General features: G+C 37.5%; 1 protein-coding gene and 1 long non-coding RNA gene across 3 annotated transcripts in view, besides 4 other annotated features; both read left to right on the top strand.

Annotated features, from left to right (window-relative positions):
- Positions 1–22,040, top strand: part of TMEM30A (transmembrane protein 30A) — a 31,869-nt gene that overhangs the window by 476 nt on the left and 9,353 nt on the right. The window contains exons 2-3 of one of the 2 annotated variants that reach the window (NM_018247.4): positions 16,569–16,676; positions 18,979–19,086. In NM_018247.4, coding sequence (NP_060717.1) covers positions 16,569–16,676; positions 18,979–19,086 — 216 coding nt within the window. The remainder of the gene's footprint in view (positions 1–16,568; positions 16,677–18,978; positions 19,087–22,040) is intronic. The other variant, NM_001143958.2, reaches the window with a different exon arrangement.
- Positions 6–13,004, top strand: LOC124901344 (uncharacterized). The gene is made up of 2 exons (XR_007059649.1): positions 6–11,558; positions 11,669–13,004. It is a non-coding gene; the product is annotated as an uncharacterized LOC124901344 (long non-coding RNA).
- Positions 11,029–11,988: an enhancer, noted in NCBI's record as "H3K27ac hESC enhancer chr6:75982045-75983004 (GRCh37/hg19 assembly coordinates)". NCBI's record gives its function as "activates a minimal SCP1, AML or CMV promoter by ChIP-STARR-seq in naive and primed H9 embryonic stem cells {active_cell/tissue: H9 hESC(naive and primed)}" and the evidence as "EXISTENCE:reporter gene assay evidence [ECO:0000049][PMID:30033119]".
- Positions 11,029–12,949: a biological region, named in NCBI's record as "MED14-independent group 3 enhancer GRCh37_chr6:75981645-75982844".
- Positions 11,189–12,388: an enhancer, noted in NCBI's record as "MED14-independent group 3 enhancer chr6:75981645-75982844 (GRCh37/hg19 assembly coordinates)". NCBI's record gives its function as "activates an origin of replication core promoter dependent on BRD2, BRD4, P300/CBP and CDK7 cofactors, and independent of MED14, by STARR-seq in HCT116 cells {active_cell/tissue: HCT116}" and the evidence as "EXISTENCE:reporter gene assay evidence [ECO:0000049][PMID:35650434]".
- Positions 11,989–12,949: an enhancer, noted in NCBI's record as "H3K27ac hESC enhancer chr6:75981084-75982044 (GRCh37/hg19 assembly coordinates)". NCBI's record gives its function as "activates a minimal SCP1, AML or CMV promoter by ChIP-STARR-seq in naive and primed H9 embryonic stem cells {active_cell/tissue: H9 hESC(naive and primed)}" and the evidence as "EXISTENCE:reporter gene assay evidence [ECO:0000049][PMID:30033119]".

Raw genomic sequence — 22,040 nt, 5'->3', positions numbered from 1 at the left:
AATCCAGTTGACTGGCTGACCTCGCGCCGTCCACCACCCCCTTCCCTCTGTTTCTCTGTTTTTTCTTTCTCTTTCTGCGGGTTTCCTGAATTTGCAGGTTTGTCCTAGCTTTGTCTTGCTCGAGATTTACGAAAGAGCAAATCCACGGAATGAGCTGAGACGGAATGAATGTTTAATGCAGAAGATAGGTCAGGTGGAGAACGCTTCTTCAGTGGGCGGTTTGTGTGGTTCCGTGGGGGATTAGTGGGGGTTGTTCACGGAGGTAAAAAGAGAAGTGGGGGCGGGGGGCAATTGTAACTAGGTAGATGTAACCCTGAGTGAATTGACAGGGTCAAAGTGCCATTACCTTTGTGGGAAGTATCCCAAGACACAGAGATGGACACCTTGGCCATTGTTGGGAGAAGAACCAGAGTCGTAGAGGTATTGACGATTCTAATGTAAAGAAGCTGTCGCATGTTATCAGGTCACATATGAGGACTTATGACAAATGTGCATAGTACTTTTCATTTTGAGCTAATTCGATATTTTTAGTTGTAGGGCAAGATGTACATAAAAGATAACCTGAAACTTCAATTCTGGTTTTGCTTTTAGGCTACGTTTATTAATGTGCCCTACCTTTGCTGGGTTTTTGTTTTGTCTTGTTTTGTTTTGTTTTTTTTTTTTACAAAAAGAGCCAGTGACCACACTCAGGGAGTAAGTTGTGCACTGTCTACCAAACATTTTACTGATATTAACTTTGCTGAATGTGTAAGACATGACAGGAAAACTTGGGGAAACATTTCTTTGTCGAAAGCACAGTATCTTTATCTGCAGGGGCGAAGACGGTTGACAGTACACTGTATTAATATATACTCTATAGGTGTCCAGTATTAAGCATCTCTCATCTTTTCTTGCATATCTGAGAATTTTTTTTTTTCTAAATCTATTTGAAAGGGCAGGAACTAGTACCAAGTTCTCTTGATTCCTTCTGTTCTGTTTATACACACACACACACACACACACACACACATTTTAATAAATATACTTTGTGATTTAATGGGACTTTGAGAGTAATTTTATTTTTAACTACTGAAATAGGGATGGGGTTCCAGTTTAATTTGCAGTGTTATCTCTAAAAGCAAGATTGATGTATTTTGTAATTCTACAGTGCTTACTTCAGTGTTGATGACAGTAATAAGAATAGTATCTATAGAATAACTAGTTTTAAAGTTTTTTACTAAAAATTCATTCTCAATTTAATAACTAGAGAGTTACAGTATTTTTTTTCAGCATGTATTTTAGTTTGTTTTATCACCTTAATCTCCCTAATAGTCCTGCAAATGTAGTACTTGTTCTAACCATACTGGGATCCCACATTATATTAGGATATGGGCAAAGCGGTGTCATGCAAGGAACATGGGCATTGGCTGGGGTCAGGCAGAGCTGGTTTTAAATTCCAGCTCAGCTACTAACCAGCTCAGTTTCTTGGAAAATTTCCGTAATCTCTCTGAGCTTCAGTTTCCTGCAAAATAGGTAGAATCATTCATATCTTCTAAGGTGTGAGAATTAGAAGCAATATAAATAAGATGTCTGGCACTAGGGATCTGTCTCCTGATCCTTAATCAGGAGAAGAGAAATAGAGAGGTTGAGATTTGACAGTAAACTAGTTGAGAGTATTGTAAAAAATGAGACAGAAACTCAGGTGTCTTGATTCCCAGCTTTAAGCTTTCACCCTACACTAAGATCCTTTTACTGCAATGTTAGTAAAGTAGAAGAAAATAATTTAACATCAGAAATTTGAATGATTTTATTTAAACTTCTTAAGATAATAAGATGAAAATAGCAATAATTTGGAATTGTATATAAATTAGTATTTTCAGAACTCAGCTTCCATTAGTATTTACTATAGTATAAAAATAAATATTTAACTTTTCTTAAAATCTTTGGGTTTTGGAGTAAAATAAGGTTCTTCACGCTAAGTAGTAGACGAAATAGAAATTTTTCAAATGGCTCTCATGTGTAATTCTGATTTCAAGTTGCCTGAAGAATCTGCTGCAGCTTAGCCTGGTTAAAAGGGCACTGAAGAGTCAGGGAATTAAGGTTGAAATCCCAGCTCTGTCACTCTGTACTTTGTGATCTTAGGTATAATTTTGAGTCCAATTTCTTTACTTGAAGAGCCAAAAGATTCAGATTAGACTGCGTCTAAGAGGTTGTTCAACTCTAAAATTCTATGATTTCCAATTCAAATGTGATTTTAAAAAAGCAGGATGTGTTTAAATTGTATTGCCTTTGAAACAGGAGGAAATGAAAATTAAGAATAATTGGGAATTTTTTACTGACACTGACATACAGTTGTGCAGACAGAATCCACATATATATTTTTAAAGTTTGGATGCTAAATGTATAGAGAAATGCTTCTGAATTGTGTCTGGAAATTCCCCAAACACACATACTTGTTTCCTGCTTGTTCTCTACCCTTTGTTACCCACTAGTTGTAAATGGGTAATGAGAAGTTCTTACCAACATTCACTTTCATACTGTAAGTTACTCACACTTTATTTTTTATTTAAAAAACCTTCATTGCTATTTTAGTTCAGATTACTAGGGCAAAGGAGGCTTGTCAAATCCAAATGCTTTTTTAATATAGCTTAAAGTGCCAAAATCAAAAATCCAAACTTTTTCAAGTATAAAATCACTGGATTTTTCTCATTCCCGCAGAAATGTTACATTAAAAATTACTACTTTTGAAAAGTGTCTTGGACACCCCTGGAAAAAAAAGATATTTTCACATTTTAATGCTTACATTTGGTAGCAGATTTCCTCTACTTTTTAGGTTTATGTATCTTGTTTAGTTGGTTTTTAGATTTTCAATAATCTAAATAAAATGAGGCTAATAGAAAATCATAATTGCTTTATCATTCACGAGAAAATATTTTAAATATTTAATATCTTCATTTATTATCAGGAGCAGGGAATGAAGATTTCCTTTAATTTGGCAATTGTGAGTCAGGCACATCTTTCAAAGGGCACTGATTTTCTAGTCTAGGACCCTTGTTGGTGAGACTGAGATACAGAGGTTACTTGAAAAATATAGTGAGGTTATTCTTAACTTTTGTAAAAGTATCAGTGTGAAGTTACATAGTTTTAAATTTATGGTTTAAGTCAGATTAGGTTGTTATTCAGACTAAGTTTAAAAACTAAACATTTACTTCAAGTTAGTGTTGCCAAAAACATTTAAGGTACATTTTCATGAGATCTTAGTGAATTAGCTCCCCATTCCCCACGTTTGATAAACTCTCAACTTTCTTCTTCACCTTATTTTATTTACTGCCCTCGATTATTTAATCCTGATTATTTTCTGTTGTCCTAGTTTCTGATAAAAATTTTTATGTATGTTTTTACTCCTAAATTGAATTATTAGATTATAAGATTTTTAAGGAGATTAAATTTCTCATCTGTATTTAGCAATCTTTGTTATACTTAGGCTTTAGCTAAGAGTCAGGGAAGAATAAGTTGCTTTGTATAAATTATCGTTAAAGATTAGGCACTTTTATGTTAAAAAGTTTAAGGTTTTAATATTCAAGTTGATTTTAGTTACTTAGAAGCTGACTTTTGGAAATTAAGGTTTGTGGTGTTTTAACTTGTTTCTCAAGTAATGTTAGTACTTAGAGCAAGGAATGCGAAAGTAAATATGGCCAGCTGGAATGTTTTGCGTGGCCCAGGAACATTTAACAGATGAACATTTGTAATCGATTTGATGATAGGAGAGCACTAACTTTGAATCCCAATTATGAGAAATGTCTCCTCCAAAATTTCCATTCTTCTCATTAGTATTAGTAGACCTATATTACCAAAAAATTGTACATATTATTGTTGCATTTTGAATTTTATCAATAAAAATTGTTGCAAATTTGTTTTCTCTCTTGTTACATAAGAACCTACATACCTAATATCTTGGACCATGCTTCTGGGTCCACAAAGCCTGAAGTATTTACTTTCTGGCCTCTTACAGAAAAAAATTGCCTGCCCATGACTTAGAGTTTTAATGAATCATACCAGCAAAGTTAGCATTTGCTACACAAATAGCTGTGTTTAATTTACATGTTCTAGTCCTCAATAATTGTTCAAGATAGGTGTAATGATCCCTGGCAATTGCTTAGGTTCTGTCTTTGTACAGATTTAGTAGATATAAAATTTACCATTAATATTGGCTTAGGAACATCATTCTTCATTTCTTTGTCACAGACAATCAGGCAGCCTAAAGAAAGTTGCTTTTGAAAGTTTTACTTACCTTTTGTCTTCATTAAGGTCTCTCGAAAAGACTTCAGATAAATCATTTAGTGTGGAATAATCAGTTCAAGGGGGAGTACTTAAAATATGATTTTTAACTTAATTTGATTAATACTTAAAATGATTTACCTTATTACTCAGCATTTTGTTGAATGACCTGTTTAGGTCTTATGTTGATTTCCTTTTTGACAAATTTACATTCAAAATGGAAGTTTTCCAGTCGTTTTCCTATATAGTGTAAAAAATGCGCATCTTTCAAATTCCTCCTTTCCCACTGCATTAAATTCTGAGTCTGTTTCTTAGAAATATAATGTATTTTTAGAATTACCAAGAAGAAATGCCAGTTTGACTTAGGTGAACAATTACAGTGGTAGCAAAACAAAGCTGAGAATGTGATATCTCCTATCTGCTCATCTACATCTGTTCTATTTTGCCTCTGGTTCTTTGTCTTGGATTTTAGCTAATGGGCAAGTCTCCAGACTATCATTGTAGTTTGCACTGTGCCTTGTATGCTCTTGACGTTAGTAAGCATTAATTTTTCAAAATGAGAGAACTGTAGCTTGTCTTCCACTTGGTAGCCTCTTTTGTTTCTAAAGATAGGAACTATGTGCTTTAGTGTGAACTTTATTTTTTGAATAAAGTTGTTACAACCCATGGTAACAACTTTATTCAAAAAATAAAGGATTGTTAGGCCCATAAGGTTTTATTAAGGTCTGGACATTATGTCTGGCTACCCTTGAATTTTAGCTGATAAAGGGTGTTGTGGTTTTATTTGATGGTGAAAACTCATAAGCTGAGTTAAATTTATAAAGGATTTTAATCAACATTGGACATTGTCTTCATACATTTTCTTCAAAGTGCATCTCTGGGAATAGTGGGAGATAGGGAAAGTTTGGGCACAGGACTTCCCTCCCTGCCCACCCCCCCACACACCTTTTTGGAGCAGAGGACCTTCTTAAGGAGCTTGGCATCTTTTGGGGAAGATGAGACACAATAACAAGAAAACTAAGCATTGCTAGGTGAGTGGCACAGGCAAGAATATCCTTTGGTAGTTCAAAGGAGGATGCAATCACATCTATTTCTAATGACCATGGAACACTGTGTAGGAAGTGGGCTTTGAGCTGGTACTTGATAAATAGCACTTCTTTAGGGGAGGTTTGGATGCATTCCAAGAAAGGTGATTAATATGAACAACGATCTAGTGGCAGGAAATCAAAAAGTGTATAGATAAAATAGGAGTAAGAGCAAATTAGCTGGTGCTAGATTGTGGATAGTCTTGAGTATTTGATAATGAATATATTAAACGAGGGAAGTGACATGATTGCTACACTATCAGTTAGGAGTGGGTTGAGCAATGAGTAATTATGATTTTCAGTCTCATGTAAAATGGCTTAGGAACATAGTGTGAAGCTGTCATGGAGGTTCTGTTTTACTGAGTCTTCACTTGATCTAATCATTTACTGCCCAGCCATTCTTAGGAACTGGCTCTCATGCTTACAGTTCGGCATGGAAGCTAGGGTTCTAACTGCCTTTTCACGGTAGCAATGTGGAAGAAGGGATGAACAAAGAGATAAAGGCCTTTTAAAGAAGGTTCTTGAAAACTGTCATGTACCACCTCCACTTAGTAACAAGGCCACACAAGCTACAAGGGAGGCTGGAAAATGTTTTCATTCTGATAACAAGGTTCTCAGTAAGTGAGAGTTTTGTATTGTGAAAAAAAGATAGAATAGAAATTGAGGCGAGGGGTTGCTATTAGCAGTCTCTGCAACACAGGGTTAGAGGAAGATTTATCTGGTGGTGAAATGGTATGTCATCAGGATGAGAGCTAGATCTCATATAGACGTGAGAGTAGTAGTTTAGACGCTGGAATTAATGTTTGCATTTTTATATTGATTATAATAATATTGAATCCAACTTGATTTCATAGTGAAACTCATTAATGTTTTTTCATGTGAAAAGTGAGTTAGGTATGTGGCTTTGCTGATACTTAAAAAAAAAGTTATAGGAGTATTGAATATCACCATCTTCCTCTTGTTTTCTTCAACCTCTTTTTTCCATCTCTGTTCAGCATATAAATGTGTTTTGGTTTCTCCTTAAAAAACAAAAATATCCTTTTATTTTTATTTTATTTTTCTTTTTTAGAAACAAGGTCTTGCTCTGTTGCCTGGGCTTCATTGCAGTGGTACAGTCGTAGCGCACTGCAAACTCAAAACTCCTAGGCTCAAGCAACCCTTCCACCTCAGCCTCTTGAGTAACTAGGACTATAGGTGCATGCCACCAGGACTGGCCAATTTTTAAATTTTTGCTAGAGATGGGGGTCTCGCTTGGTTGCCCAGGCTGCTCTTGACCTCCTGGCCTCAAGCAGTCCTCTTGCCATGTCCTCCCAGAGTGTTGGGATTACAAGCATTGTTAGCCACCGCACCTGGCCTTTTTTTAAAAAAAATAGAGATGGGGCCTTGCCGTTGCCCAGGCTAGAGTGCAGTGGCAATGTTCATAGCTCACTGTAGCCTCAAACTCCTGGGCTCAAGTGATCTTCTTGCCTCGGCCTCCCGAGTAGCTGGGATTACAGGCGCAAGCCACTGTGTCTGGCTTAATTGTATTTCATAATAAAACTATTAATAATGACTAACATTTTTTGAGAGTATACTCTGCTAAGAGTTTTACATACATCATGTTAGTTGATACAGTGACACTTAACAAGGGTAACATTATTCTCTCCATTTTTTTTTTTTTTTTTTTTTTGGATGAGGACATTGAATCTGAGATTAAGTCTTCTGCTTAGTCACAAAGGTGGGATTCATACTTTAGCCATCTGACCTCTTGTTTAGTTTCCTGTAGTTTCCTGTATTCTCTTTCCACACAATCTGTTTAAAAAGAAGGGTCCGTGCTTATTGCCAATGTCCATTCCCATCTCCCTTTAACTCCTTAATTTGCTGCATTTGAAGTATGTTAAATGGTAAAAAATCCTATGAAGAAGAATGAAGGAAGGGTTGATGGTTTATAATTTTAAATAGGGTAGCCAGGGGAAGCCTCAGTAAAATGGCATTTGAATAAAGAACCAAAAGAGGGAAGAGAGTGAACCATATTGATATGTGAGGGAAGAATGTTCCAGGCAGAAGAAATAGTAAGAGCATAGGTCCTGAGGAATGTGCTTAGTTAGGTGTTTGAGGAACAACAAAGAGGCCAATATGGCTGAAGTAGAGGGGGAAGAATGGTAGAAGATGAGGGTATTGGGAAGTATTAGGAGGAATATCACATGAAGCACTATAAGAACTTTGGCTTCTCCGCTCAGTTTAGTGAGAAGCTATTGAAAAGTTTTGCACAGATAGGTGTTATTATTTCACTTATGTTTAAAAAGAATCACTCTGGCCTTGACATGGAGAATATTGCCTGGTAAATAAGAGTAAAGCAGGGTATTTCTGACAGGAAAAAGCCAAAGCATATTTCCTAGTCTCGCACACCACTCAACACTTCTGACACCACATGTGTGGAAATTTTTCCCTACACACCATCCAGTTCTGACACCAGATTCTCCAGCACACAGCAATTGGGTGTCCTATAATTTCGTTAAATTCTGGCACTATCTACTAGGAGATAGTATCAGATCCCACAGGGTAGGGGCTCAGTCCCACAAGACTGCCTCTCACTTTAGATGCCAATTGTAAGTCCCAGGCTGCGACCTGTACTTCTGGCCAAATTGCTATAAACTGGTGTTTCCATGACGCCCTCCTTGAGTTTGCTTTATTTGCTAGAGCGGCTCATAGAACTCAGGTAAACACTTTATTTACGTTTACCCGTTTATTATAAAGGATATTACACAGGATACAGATGAAAAACCAGATGGAAGAGATGTAAAAGGAGATGTTTGGAGAAGGGGTTCAGAGCTTCCATGTGCTCACTGGGGTGCCACACTTCAGGCACTTCCATGTGTTCAGCTATCTGGAAGCTCTCTGAACCCTGTCTTTTTGAGTTTTCATGAAGGCTTCATTATGTACACATGATTGACTCAATAATTGACCGTTGGTGATCAGCTCAGTCTTCAGTCACTCTGCCTCCTGGGACTCAACCTTCAGTCCCTTTCCCCTTCCCACAGGTCTATTCATGCCTTGGTCTTTCTAGTGACCAGCTTCCATCCTGAAGCTATTTAGGGGGCACCAACCACCAATTGTATCATTAGCATATGAAAGACACTCATCACTCAGAGACTGTAAGAGTTTTTTTTAGGAGCTCTGTACCAGGAAACTGGGAGCAAAGATTAAATATGTATTTCTTACTGTAAATCACAATATCACACAGGGAAACCAGTTAAGAGGCTATTGCAAGTAATTCAAGCAGGAGATGATGGTGGTCACAGTAGAATGGTTGCAGTGAAAAGCAGTTAGATATAGAATATATTTATGAAAGTAGAGCTAAAAGAATTTTCTCATGCAATTGATATATGGGGTGTAAGAGAAAAGTGAAGAATCAAAGATGACTAAGATATTTTGATTTGTAGCTGGAAGGATGGAGTTGTCATTTTTCAAGATGGGGAAGATTGTAGGAAAATGAGGTTTTAAGTATGCTAGTAAGAGGATGTGGTGGGGGAAGCAGAATAAATAGTTCAATATTTGACTTGTTAGGATGAGATGCCATTAGACATCCAAGTTGGGAATAATGAGTAGGCAAACAAATATAGAGTTCAAGGGGAAGGTTGAGACTAGAGTTACATATTTTGAGGGTTAATCAGCATAGATGATGTATAAAGGCCTAATTAGCATAGATGGTGTATAAAGGCCTAAGATAGGATGAAATCATAAGAGTGATTTATAGGTCAAAGAAAAGTAAGAAGATCCCTGAGTCACTCCAGTGTTTAGAGGCTGGGGAGCTAAGGAGGAACTAGCAAAGGAGACTGAAAAGGAGCAGCCAGTGAGGTAGGACAAAAACATGGAAACTGGTACCCTGGAATCAAAGGAAGAGCTTGTAAACAACATGCCAAATGTTGTTGCTCATGGTTCACAGAAGAGCAGGACTGAGAACTGACTTTTTTTTTTTTTTTTTGAGACAGAGTCTCGATCTGTCACCCAGGCTGGAGTGCAGTGGCACGATCTTGGCTTACTGCAAGCTCCGCCTCCCAGGTTCATGCCGTTCTCCTGCCTCAGCCTCCTGAGTAGCTGGGACTACAGGCGCCCGCCACCAGGCCTGGCTAATTTTTTGTATTTTTAGTAGAGACGGGGTTTCACCGTGGTCTCGATCTCCTGACCTCATGATCCGCTCGCCTTGGCCTCCCAAAGTGCTGGGATTACAGGTGTGAGCCACCGCGCCCGGCCTGAGAACTGACTTTTGATTTAGTGACATGAAAAGCAGTGGTAAACCTTACAGAGAGTGGCATCACCATCCATAGGGTTTTTCATGCCAGAAACCCTGGAAATCAACCTAAGTGTATTTGCCCTCATCCCATCTCTAGGCACTAAGTTCTGTAGATTCTACCTTCTCTTTCTTTTGTGAATCTGTCTTTTGTATTCCTGCTGCCACTTTATTAGTTTAAGTTCTCAACATTTTTCACCTGGATTATTGTGGTGGCATTCTGTCTGGCATTCTCTTTAATCTCTCTGCACATTGGTGCCACAGTGATTCTTTTTGAGAGGCTAGTTTTAATGTTTCCTTCTTTTATTTAAAATTTCTCTTATGGCTGTTTCTGTCTAGCATTCAGGATACTGTTCAAACCCCTTTACATAGAGTGTAATTTTCTTCATGATAGGCTACTTTCTGCTTTTCTAGCCACATCTCCTACCACTCCCCTACCTTATGCTCTAGTCATGGCAAACTACTATAGTTTCTGGAATGTGACATGCTAATAGTTTACCTGAAATGACCTTCCTTTTCTTATTCTATCACATTTTCACATGCAGTTCCTATTAACATGGAAAGTCTTCCTTGATTCTCCTTTTTCCACCTGGTATATATGCTTCTCTCAGTTTCCAGAAGTACTAGCTTACAGCCTGCCTTAAAATTATATTATCCTGTAATTATTCATAAATGTGACTTTCTATCCCACTTGTCTGTAAATTCTTTTGTAGCATGAACAATGTATTTTTCCATTTTGTATTCTCATCCTGTAGACAGTGCCTAGCACCTAATAGGGACTCAGGTTTGAATGAGTGAATGAAACTCAGTCAGTACCATCAAGACATCTTAACACAGTTTGTTGAGAGTTTTTTGGTCATCTGAATGGTATTATGGGTCTGAAGGAGTTCTTGAAATTACCCAAGGAAAATATTATATACTATAAATCAAACTTGTATAACTGTGATATCCATCCATATCTAAAGGCAAAACAAATTTGCCTATTGAAGAGTAATCTAGAGAGTGCTGAAAATTTAACAAACAGGTTATTTGGCAAATGCTGCAGCAAAGAGAGACAAATATCAAAACTATATCATGTTCCAAGCCCCCAGTCAGGGATGTAGTCTCTCTTTGTACTCTCTCCCTGTAGATAACATCTACTCGGCAGCTTTCATGGAGAAATTTGCTGACTACTAGACTAGCTTGTATTGCCATACCACCTATACTTTTTTTTTTTTTTTAATAAAAATATCCATTCTATTTTAATGTTGTTTTCTGTGTTAGATACTGAACTCCAGGAGGTCAGGTGCTAGGCTGAATCCTCATTGCTGGGACCATAGAGGCATTCATAAATGTTAGGTGAATGAATGATTACGTCATGATGGGCAGTCAGAAAGAAATGAAAGTCCTATTTCCTATCTGTTTATATGCAAATATTTGATTATGTTGTTCTCCTCAAAACTCTTCAGTTCCTTATTTCCTGCCGGACATTTTAACACTCGGTTACTTAGCTTGCTGAGGCTTTATTGTCAGCAGCAGTAACCAGCTCTGGCTAGCTTAGACAGGAAAGAAAGTATTAAAGGAGGATTGGGTAACTCTCACACAAAATGGATGGGACGTACAGAGAGTCAGGTTTGGAGACAAGTGGGAAGTAAGGGAGTTTTGAAAGTATAAACAGTCTGATCCAGATGCCACAGCTGCTGTTGAATTTCTCTTGCTAGACTACTACTGTGACTGCTCATTTAATCACATCCACTCTTTGTTTCCCAGGATTCACTGGTCTATGTGGGAGTGTCTGATTGCTGAGTCTAGCTCTTGTACCTTTACACTGGCTACCATGGGTTTATGGAGAGGAAGAACCCATCTCTCCCTTTGGTTTCTGAAGTGGGAGGTGGAGCCCTGCATCCTTCCAAAACTCACAATGGACAGTTCCACAAAACTTGGAAACAATTCCAGCAATTGCCAGGGTAATTGTATTTTTAAAATGAGATGATGTGTGTTAGATAATCAGTGCCATGAAGAAAAGTCAGCATAGAGACAGAGGACCTCTCAGAAACGCAGTCTTTACTTTCTGCAGAAAGGGCGCTCCTTGAAGATGGAACAATGGTGAGAGCACACTTGAACAAAGGAAAAGCAACATATTTATCCCTTATGCATTTGGATCATCCTTACTGTCGTATCCTGCATCCATTGGCTGGAGCTGGACCTCACAGTTTTAAACTGATACCCGATTTGCTAATAACCTAAAACTTTCCTAAATAGGTAAGTGCAAGGGAGAACAAAGAAGGAGAGGAAGTTGCTTATGAAAGGTTTAAGGAAGCAATAACATTTCCAAATAAGGAAGGGGCATAAGCTATGAGCTAGGACTTGCTTGGGCTTGTCCAGGCATGCCTGAGTAAGCCGAAGCAACTAACTGGGCTAAAGTGTAAGAACTAATAGTTGATAGGAGGCTTTAGAGTAAGAAGTTATTATTTCTAGTGTCTATTGTTTTATTTTTAAACCAAGATGAGCTTTGAAGAGGAGCTTTTCTACTTTCTACATGTGTATTAAGTACTTACAATGCCCAGCACTTAGTATACATTCAATAAACAGTAGTCAGTGAAATACAGTATATAGTTTTGGGTCCAGTTTACCTTCTTAGCTGCCTCATTTCCTTCCAACATGAAAACTCCATAAATACAAAATGTGTATGCTATTGTCCTTAAATATACCTTGTGATTTCCACCTCTGTCTTCTCCATATGCCACCTCTTTCTCTCTTTTCCATCTTTCTTTTATGGCTCTGTTCAAATCTTTGCTGCTTCTCAGTAAGAAAGAAGTGTTGGTCCATCTATTATTCCTCTATGCCATCTAGTTTGGCACTTAGAATTTAAGGTAGTTTTCTTGGTATTTATATGTTATCTTTGATAAAGTAGTCTGCTAGAGGGCAAAGGGGACTGACTATTTTGGGGGAAAAAATGGTTTAGTAGAAGAAACATGAGGCTTGGAGTCAGAAATCCTTGGTTCCAGCTTAGCACTAGCTATTACTACTTGTGTGACCTTGGACAAGTTTCTGAATGTGTTCTTTTTATATAAAATGGAGATAATGCTATAGAATTTTGGTGAGGGTCAGATGAAATATGTATGTGAAGGAACAGGCTGTGTAAACTGTATAACGTATGATTGCTTTTGTGTGTATCTTGTATCTAATGTCATGCCTTACACATAGGCTTAATATATTAATGATAATGATTTTTTTAAATAGTCCTTTCAGATTTTCATGGCATCAAAAGACATGTAATTTTTTAATACATTTAAAAAATCATAATCAGATTGTGATGAAGATGTTATAGCTATCTTTCATTTTGTTCATGTGTAATTTAATATTCAGTGATTACTCTTGGTTCCAATAAAATGTTATATTGTTATATTTTATACTGTAGCATAATTTATTAGATTTCAAATTCCATCAGATTATTTTTGTTCAGTTAAAAAAAGAATATGATTTCTCTTGCAGATTTTGCCCCTAGAAACTAATTCTAAACAGTGATTTGAGAGGTTTCTGTTCAAAAGCGTATAATATGGGAATAAGTTCAGCTGGCAACTTTTTTTTTAATGCTTAGATTAGTCTTAAGAGGGAGAAAATGTACAGAGATTTTAAAATATAGTTTGTTTTTCTGAATGGTCTTTTCTTTCATCTCTCCAACATCATAAAACTTGGTATTTAAGTGGAATATTGTGCATGAAAAGGCCCCAGGTGCAAAGTTGTGGCCCAACAGGTCTAATGAAAGATTACATAGGCTTTGCCTCTCTTCGTTTGGGAGACCTGTGTTTTCAGTTTGTTTTAGTTATGTGACTAGCTCTTCTTTAATTATGCAGTGAAAGAAAAGTTTCTCTAAACAATTTCATCAGTAAACAAATAAGCTTTGATGAAAACTGTTTCTATAGGAGGTTATACTGGAATTTGACAAAACCAAGTTTTGTTAAGCAAATGTATGACTTTTAAAAAGCCACTAAATGTTACACCTTACCAAGGAGTACTACGGTGTCTTAATCAGCTGGGTGATACCTTCCATTGGTTGGGTTAAACAACCAATGTTTATTTCTTGTAGTTCTGGAGGCTGGGAAGTCCAAGGTCAAGGTACTGGTAGATTCAGCTCCTAGTGAGGTCCCTTTACAGGCTTGTAGATGGCTGCCATCTTCCTTTGTCCTCAGATGATAGAGATTGAGAGAGCTGTGGTCTTTTTTCCTCATCTTATAAGGACACTAATCCCATCATAGGAGCTCCACCCTCATGACCTCACCTAAATCTGATTACCTCCCAAAGGCCCCTTCTCCAGATACCATCATACTGGGGGATAGAGCTTCAACATAGGACATTTAGGGGGACACAAACATTCAGTTCATAACATTCAGGTGGCAAGTAAGCATATAAAAATGCTCAACATCATATATCAATAGAGAATTACAAATTACAACAACAATGACATATTACCACATACCTAGTAGGATGGTGAAAATCCAAAACTGACACCACCAAATGCTAAGGGAGGATGTGGAGCAATAGGAATTATGATGGAATGCAAAATGGTATAGCTCCTTTGGAAGTCAGTTTGGCAGTTTCTTACAAAAGTAAACATACTCAGCTGGGCGCAGTGACTTACACCTGTAATCTCAGCACTTTGGGAGGCCAAGGCAGGTGGATCACGAGGTCAGGAGATCAAGACCAAAATAAGAATTTAAGAGAAATAATGGGGCCGGGCGCGGTGGCTCATGCCTGTAATCCCAGCACTTTGGGAGGCCAAGGTGGGCGGATCATGAGGTCAAGAGATAGACACCATCCTAGCCAACATGGTGAAACCCCGCCTCTACTAAAAATACAAAAATTAGCTGGGCATGGTGGTGCACTCCTGTAGTCCCAGCTACTTGGAAGGCTGAGGCAGGAGAATCACTTGAACCCAGGAGGCGGAGGTTGCAGTGAGCCGAGATTGTGCCACTGCGCTCTGCCTGGTGATAGAGTGAGACTCCGTCTCAAAAAAAAAAGAAAAAGCAAACATACTCTTACTCTATGATCCAGCAATTGCATACCTTGTATTTAGCCAAGTGGGTTGAAAACTAATGTCCACACAAAAACCTGCACATGGATGTTTAACAGCTTTATTCATAATTTCAATAACTTGGAAGCAACCAAGATGTCCTTCAGTAGGTGAACAAATCAATAAACTGTGGCACATCCACACAGTGGATATTATTTATTGCTAAAAATAAATGAACTATGAACCCATGAAAAGACATTTAAAATCTTAAGTGAGTATTACTAAGTGAAAGAAACCAATCTGAAAAGGGTACATATGGTATGATTTCATATATAACATTCTGGAAAGTACAAAACTATGAGGACAGTAAAAAGATCAGTCCTTTCCAGGGGTTAGCAGAGAGAGGGATATAGAGTACAGAGGTTTTTTAGGGCAGAGAGACTATTCCGTATGATAACATAATGGTGGATACTCATTATACGTTTGTCAAAACCCATAGAATATACACCAAGTGTGAACCCTAGTGTGAACTGTGGGCTTTGGGTGATGGTGATGTGTCAGTGTAGGTTCGTCGATTATAGCAAATGTACCACTGTGGTGTGAGATGTTGATAGTGGGGGAAGTTGTGTGTGTGTGTCAGAGGCAGAGAGTATATGGGAACTCTGTACTTTGTTCAGTTTTGCTGTGAACCTTAAACTATAAAAATTAGTCTATTTAAAAATGTTTATGGTGGAAAAAAAAGCCTTTCAATTTAGCGATCAGGCCAGATCTTCTGACATCAACCAGTATACTGCAATTCAATTCTGGCACTAACCATCCTGAAATAGTGTCAGACTCCACAGGTTCAAGGGCATGGTCCCCAACAAGACTGCCCCCACTTCAGACACCAGCTGCAATTCAAGTTCCCAGGCCACTCATACTTCTTGTCAACTGGCTCCAAATCCAGGGAGTTCCCAAGACCATTCTCACTACCTCGCCATAAGATTTCCCTCACTTCAGATGCCATTTGCAAGTTCAGGGATCTCCAGGTCACCCATATTTCTGACCAACTGGCTATATATTCAGAGGGGGTCCTAGAAGACACATATAGCAAGGTCTCGAACAGTCCTGAATGCAGAGCTTTTATGCCCTCTCCCTGTATACTTAGAGCACATTACCCTCCCAGCACATTAGTGGATTCACCAACCAGAAAGCTGTCCTTCACTTCAGTGTCTAGAGTTTCTATTGGGACTTCATGATGTAGGCTTGATTGATTGAACACTGACTAATTGATTGAACTAAATTTTTAGCCCCACTTTCCTCCTAAGAGATTGGGCTGGGCCAAAGGTCCGCAATCACACAATTAGTCTTTCTGGTGACTAGCTGCTATCCTGAGTCATCTTGTTAACTAACATAAACTCTGGTGTGAATCAAGGGGCTTATGAATAACAAAGATACTTCTGTCACCTGGGAAATTCCAAGCATAAAGCTCCTTGCCGGGAACCCAAGACAAAGACAAATTCAGCACCAGGTGTTGAAAAAACAGTAGCTCTTGGTAACCTAATTTTTTTCAAAAGTATATAATGGAAAGCTGAGGTGACTGAAAAGTATTTAAGATTGAAAGATTTAAGAGGAAAAACTGATTTATTGATCTCTGTTAATCTAGTATTTTAATAGTTTAGATGTTTTAGCTATGTAAATATGCAGTTTTGAATTTTGTATGTATGATTTTATGCATAAATATATTTCTTTGATAAAAAGAAGAGAGGACTTTACTTGGAAAGATCAGCCAGTAGAACAACAGAGGACCCTTTCCAGTTTTTACTACCTCACACTGTCAAACAGATGACCTTAAAAACAGTTTTTGTCTGAGCTCTAGGTCATTTCATTGGACTTAATTTTCCTTTTAATAGCAAGTCGTTTCAGAGTGTTTTAGGTATCCACTTTCTCTAAGGAAGTGCTTAGTTATATTTTTCTCTTGCAGATTGATTATACCGGAACAGAGCCTTCCAGTCCCTGTAATAAATGTTTATCTCCGGATGTGACACCTTGCTTTTGTACCATTAACTTCACACTGGAAAAGTCATTTGAGGTCTGTGTTTCCAAGTAATGTGCTAGAAAAGCCATGCTTTAAAAAATACTGATACTGTACTAAATGTCTTTTACAAGGTATTTTCCTTTTATAGAGAAGTCTGTATAATTTACTGGAGTTTATAGGCTTTTGAGGAAGATCGTTTTGTGTGTTTGGCTGTTGGATTTTGCTGTCTGGTAATTAAATACATTTATTTGAATGGTTTAGTTAGTACTTTGTAGACAAAATTTAAGATATTGTATTTTATCCTTTCAACAGATAATGTTATGACTGTACGAATCAATTTTTTATCAAGTTTTATATACTTGTATTTTTAAAATTATTGCTCAAATTGTTGTGCATACTTACGATACTAAAGCAAGCTTTACTTTAGAAAATAAATAATTCTCCCATTACTTAATTGAATTATTTTTATGACATATGAAGCATTATAAAAAATGCAAACACTTATTAAAACCTTACTGATCATTTATGTTTTTATAAGTAGTTAGAAATCCATCTGTTTGCATTTACACTGCCATTCTGAATACATGCTAACGGACATAAAGATTCAGAATAGGCATGTAAAGACCACTCTGTATTCTCCTGTGCCTGAAAATTGAGCTTAAAATAATTATTCTTAAGGGAGCAAAACTGCGTTAATACATGCCAACTTTTTAGATTTTCTGAACTTAAGATTTTCTAAAGGTAGTGATGACTTTAATAGTCCCTAATAGTTGGTTGCCATCTAGTGGTTATAGATGCTCTTGCACTGACATAAAGGACAGGATCATGCTGCTTTTGAATAATACATGAAAACAAATTTTGTAGAAGACAAATGTAATTATTTAACTTTGTTTCAGCAGAAACAGAATATACATTTAAAGTATCTTTACAAGTCCATGATTTTTCAGTGTGATGGGCAGACAATAAAGATACAATAAATTCTGCTTTTGTCAGAACAGGCAGAATTGAAGAAACGAGAGACTAGTAGTGATATAGAAGCTCTATTAATTTTCTCTCCCATTCAAAAAACACTTCAGAACTTGTTTTTTGCAAAGGCAGTCAACCTCAAATTCATTCTCTTGTGGACTCTGTGTTTCTTCACAAGCTCAAACTTTGAATTGGACTAAACTCTTCAGGGAACTTCAAGTAGGTTATTTTATCTCAGTGTTCATTCAAATAATCTCTTTTTCAGTTTACAAATTGAATTTACTGTACTGAATCTCGAGGTAATATTTCCTTTTAAAAAAGAATATTCATTTTCTCAATTTCTGTGATGTAATTTTGATATTCCCTCTCTTCCACAAGAAGGTTTCCATGTAAACATTTTCTTTATATAGAATGGGAAAATTTGCATGGTTTGACATTTGAAAGTCAAGCATTAAATAAATGATAGTGTATATAAAAATAGCAAATCAAATGAAGTCTACTTATAATGTTACTGAATTACTTTTAATTAAGGATAAGAATATAGAAAATAGAGGTAGCAACCAGAAAGGAGAAAATACCTTAATGTTTGCTACCTCTAAAAATTTTAATCATTTAAGATGGCTTCTTAGCATCTTCTAAATAATTGTAATGTTTATAGGTTACCCTTCTTTCCCAGGTTATTTCAAAGTTGGCGCTATTAAATATATTAAAGTACTTTTCTTGATTATTATAAAGTGGCTTATTATCATAGAGACTCTACTAATTAGTAGTTTATTAACTCATAATATTATATAGTGTCCTCTTGAGGAATTTATTATATCCCAATTCAAGTTCAGAATTCACTTGGACAAAAAAAATGAAAGTTTCAACTGCACGTGGTGCTACAGACCTGTAGTGCACACCTCCCAGTGTCTAGGGATAGAGGCGGTAGAACGGCTCAAGCCCAGGAATTAAGGGCCAGCCTGGGCAACATAGCAAGACTCTAGTCTCTGGGAGAAAAAAAAAAGAAACAAGTTTGACCATTATCCCTGTGAAAAGTCGATGCTAACTGGGTGAAGACCAGTTTGAATTAGAGAAAATTTTAAATTGAAGGTAGCTCAGAGTAGGCTAATAGATTCCTTGAATATTCTCTTTTAATGTAAATAGTACTTTTTTGACGTCTTTAAGGATAGTTTTAAAGTTTACTTGTGGCTTTTTGTAACATACCTTCTCTAGCCTTATTTACAGTTGTGCCATTTTAGATTGCTAAGTACTGGTGGAATTTACCCCACTACCTATCACAAATTGTAAACTAATAAAAGTCCAAATTACGTAGCTTTTATGTACACATGAAATAAGTTTATACAGAATAGTTTTTATATGAAAATTTTTTCCCTCTCTGTTTCTCTAGGGCAACGTGTTTATGTATTATGGACTGTCTAATTTCTATCAAAACCATCGTCGTTACGTGAAATCTCGAGATGATAGTCAACTAAATGGAGATTCTAGTGCTTTGCTTGTAAGTAAAATGATAAATATGAAAATATGATATCTGTAAAATAAGAATATGTAGTAACTGTTCAGTTAGAATTGTTAGGATGAAATTAAAGTGTTGTCATTTATAGTTTGTATAGTGAGGATTTTTTTCCCCCCGAGATGGAGTCTCACTTTGTCGCCCAGGCTGGAGTGCAGTGGCACAGTCTCAGCTCACTGCAACCTCCACCCCCCAGGTTCAAGCAATTTTGCCTCAGTCTCCCGAGTAGCTGGGATTACAGGTGTATACCACCACACCCAGCTAATTTTTGTATTTTTAGTAGAGATGGGGTTTCAACATGTTGGCCAGTCTGCTTTCAAACTCCTGACCTCATGATCTGCCCACCTCGGCCTCCCACAGTGCTGGGATTACAGGCATGAGCCACCATGCCTGGCCTGTATCATGAGGATTTTTAGTTAAAATATTTTTTCCTGGAATTCACACAGATGCATTGATGCCCAGACTGGTTTGGAAATCTGTGGACTAGGGGATCTTAGTTTCTTTACTGTTCTTCAGTTTTCCATATTAGTGGTTAGTGCCTATGTATTTTTTTTTATTTTTTATTTTATTTTATTTTTTTGAGACAGAGTCTCACTCTATTGCCCAGACTGGAGTGCAGTGGCGCGACCTCGGCTCACTGCAGCCTCCACCTCCTGGGTTCAAGTGATTCTCCTGCCTCAGTCTCCCGAGTATCTGGGATTACAGGTGCGCATCACCAAGCCCGGCTAATTTTTGTATTTTTAGTAGAGACGGGGTTTCGCCACGCTGGCCAGACTGGTCTCAAATTCTGGACTTCAGGTGATCTGCCCTCCTCGGCCTTCCAAAGTGCTGGGATTACAGGCTTGAGCCACCGTGTCCGGCCCTAAGTATTTTATGTTACTGTTGCCAATGCAGCAAACATTCAGAGGCCCAGAGCAATTTAGGATTTCTTAGAATTAATGAATCTCTTAGAATACAATTTAGGACTATGTTGTGAGCAGCATGGGCCTCCGAAATGTAAAATATAACTGCTCTAGGTTATCTTGATTGGTTTTATTGCTGATCATCAGTTGCTGATGTGTGGGATTTTAAGCAATACAAGTCTACTTAAAGATTCCTTGGTATACACAGGGTTCTGGTTAGGCCTATGATATTTTGAATCTATGTGGGGTTTATTCCATAGGATCCAATTTTTAGCACTCAAATCCAGAGAAGATGTTGTACTGTGAGATACACCAAGTTTCTAGACCTTTCTGAATGTGTTTTTTAGGGATTATAGATAGTGTGTGTTCCAAAACCCCAGAAATGGTGGCTGATTTACAATTATTTTATTTATATATGTGCTGTGTTCACTGAGGGTAAAGAAAACTGAAACTGATTCTTTTCTTCCAAACTGTAAGCAAAGATTTCAGGCCACACCAGGAATAGATCAACTTTTTCTGTAAAGGGTCAGATATTATGTGTAAGGCCCTGTACAATCTGGCATCAGCCTTATTATCTTATATACTATTTTTAATACATTAAACAAGGCCTGGCTGCCCTGGGCCTTGTTTGCTGCTCCCTAACCATGCATTGTGACACAAGTAATCTGCTCATTTTGCCAGTTAGCATTTTATTTGCTTAGAATGTCATTTTTACTGTTTCCCTGGAGGTCTTCTCATCTCAAGGCCTGCTATTTTTTCTAAGTGCCCTTCCATGCAAAAATGTGCTTCTTTACATATTTACTTCATTTATTTTTTTGTTCCAAGTCACTACCACTTTTTGCTTGGATGAACAAATTGTGTCTCACATCATCCAATCCTGCTCCTTTCCAGGCCATTCTCATAGCAGCTATAGTGAAGTTTTTAAAAAGTATAAATATCACTTCCCTACCTAAAATCTTTCAGTGGTCATATTAGCACTTGTAGTAAAATCTCAGGATGATCTGAGCTATGCGTAATCCTCTTATCTCATCACATATCATCCTCCCTCTTGGCATGCTCCAGCTACATTCACCATTACCTTCACAGAAATAAGTTCTTGTTTAGTGGCATGTGGTGTTCTCTTTGCTTAAAACTCTCTTCTGTCTTCTCTTTACATGGCTGGCTCCTGGTCTTTTTTTTATGTCTTAACTTAAATGATACCTCCTCCAGAGTCAAACTTTTCATTACCATAGATTCTAAAGCAGCTCCTCCTATCCTTTTTCCATTAAATACTCACATAGCCTCTTCATAACACTTACTGTAATTTGTAATTACATATTTGCTTATCTGTTATCTTTCTTTCCAGCTATACTGTAAGCTCATGAAGGCAGGGAGCATGACTTTCTTTAATCACTGTTTACCAAGTGCCTGGCTCGTGCTTGCACATGGAAGGCATTTAATAAATATTTGCTGAATGAATGTAGACATCTTCATCATGGCTCTTATTTCGTATGATAGTTGGTTTTGTAAGGGTCTGCTTCCCCTGTTACATTTTGAGTTGCTTAAAAATAGGGATTGTATTCTTTTCGTTTTTCTGTTTTTAGCACCTAGTATTGTACATGCTGCATATTAGGTACTCATCAAATAGCTTTGTTTTTTTTTGTTGTTGTTGTTTGTTGTTTTTTTTTTTGAGACGGAGTCTCACCACTCTGTCGCCCAGGCTGGAGTGCAGTGGTGCGATCTCGGCTCACTGCAACTTCTGCCTCCCCGGTTCAAGCAATTCTGTGCCTCAGCCTCCTGAGTAGCTGGGATTATAGGCCCCCACCACCATGCCCGGCTAATTTTTGTATTTTTAGTAGAGACGTGGTTTCACCATCTTAGGCAGGCTGGTCTTGAACTCCTGACCTCGTGATCCACCAGCCTCGGCCTCCCAAAGTGCTAGGATTACAGGCGTGAACCACTGTGCCCGGCTTGTTTTTGTTTTTTTCTGAGACAGGGTTGACTTTGTCACCCAGGCTGGAGTGCAGTGGCACGATCTCTGCTCACTGCAACCTTTGC

Source organism: Homo sapiens, chromosome 6 (assembly GCF_000001405.40).
Source record: "Homo sapiens chromosome 6, GRCh38.p14 Primary Assembly".
Taxonomy (NCBI): domain Eukaryota; kingdom Metazoa; phylum Chordata; class Mammalia; order Primates; family Hominidae; genus Homo; species Homo sapiens.
This window is presented reverse-complemented; position numbering and strand designations above follow the sequence as displayed.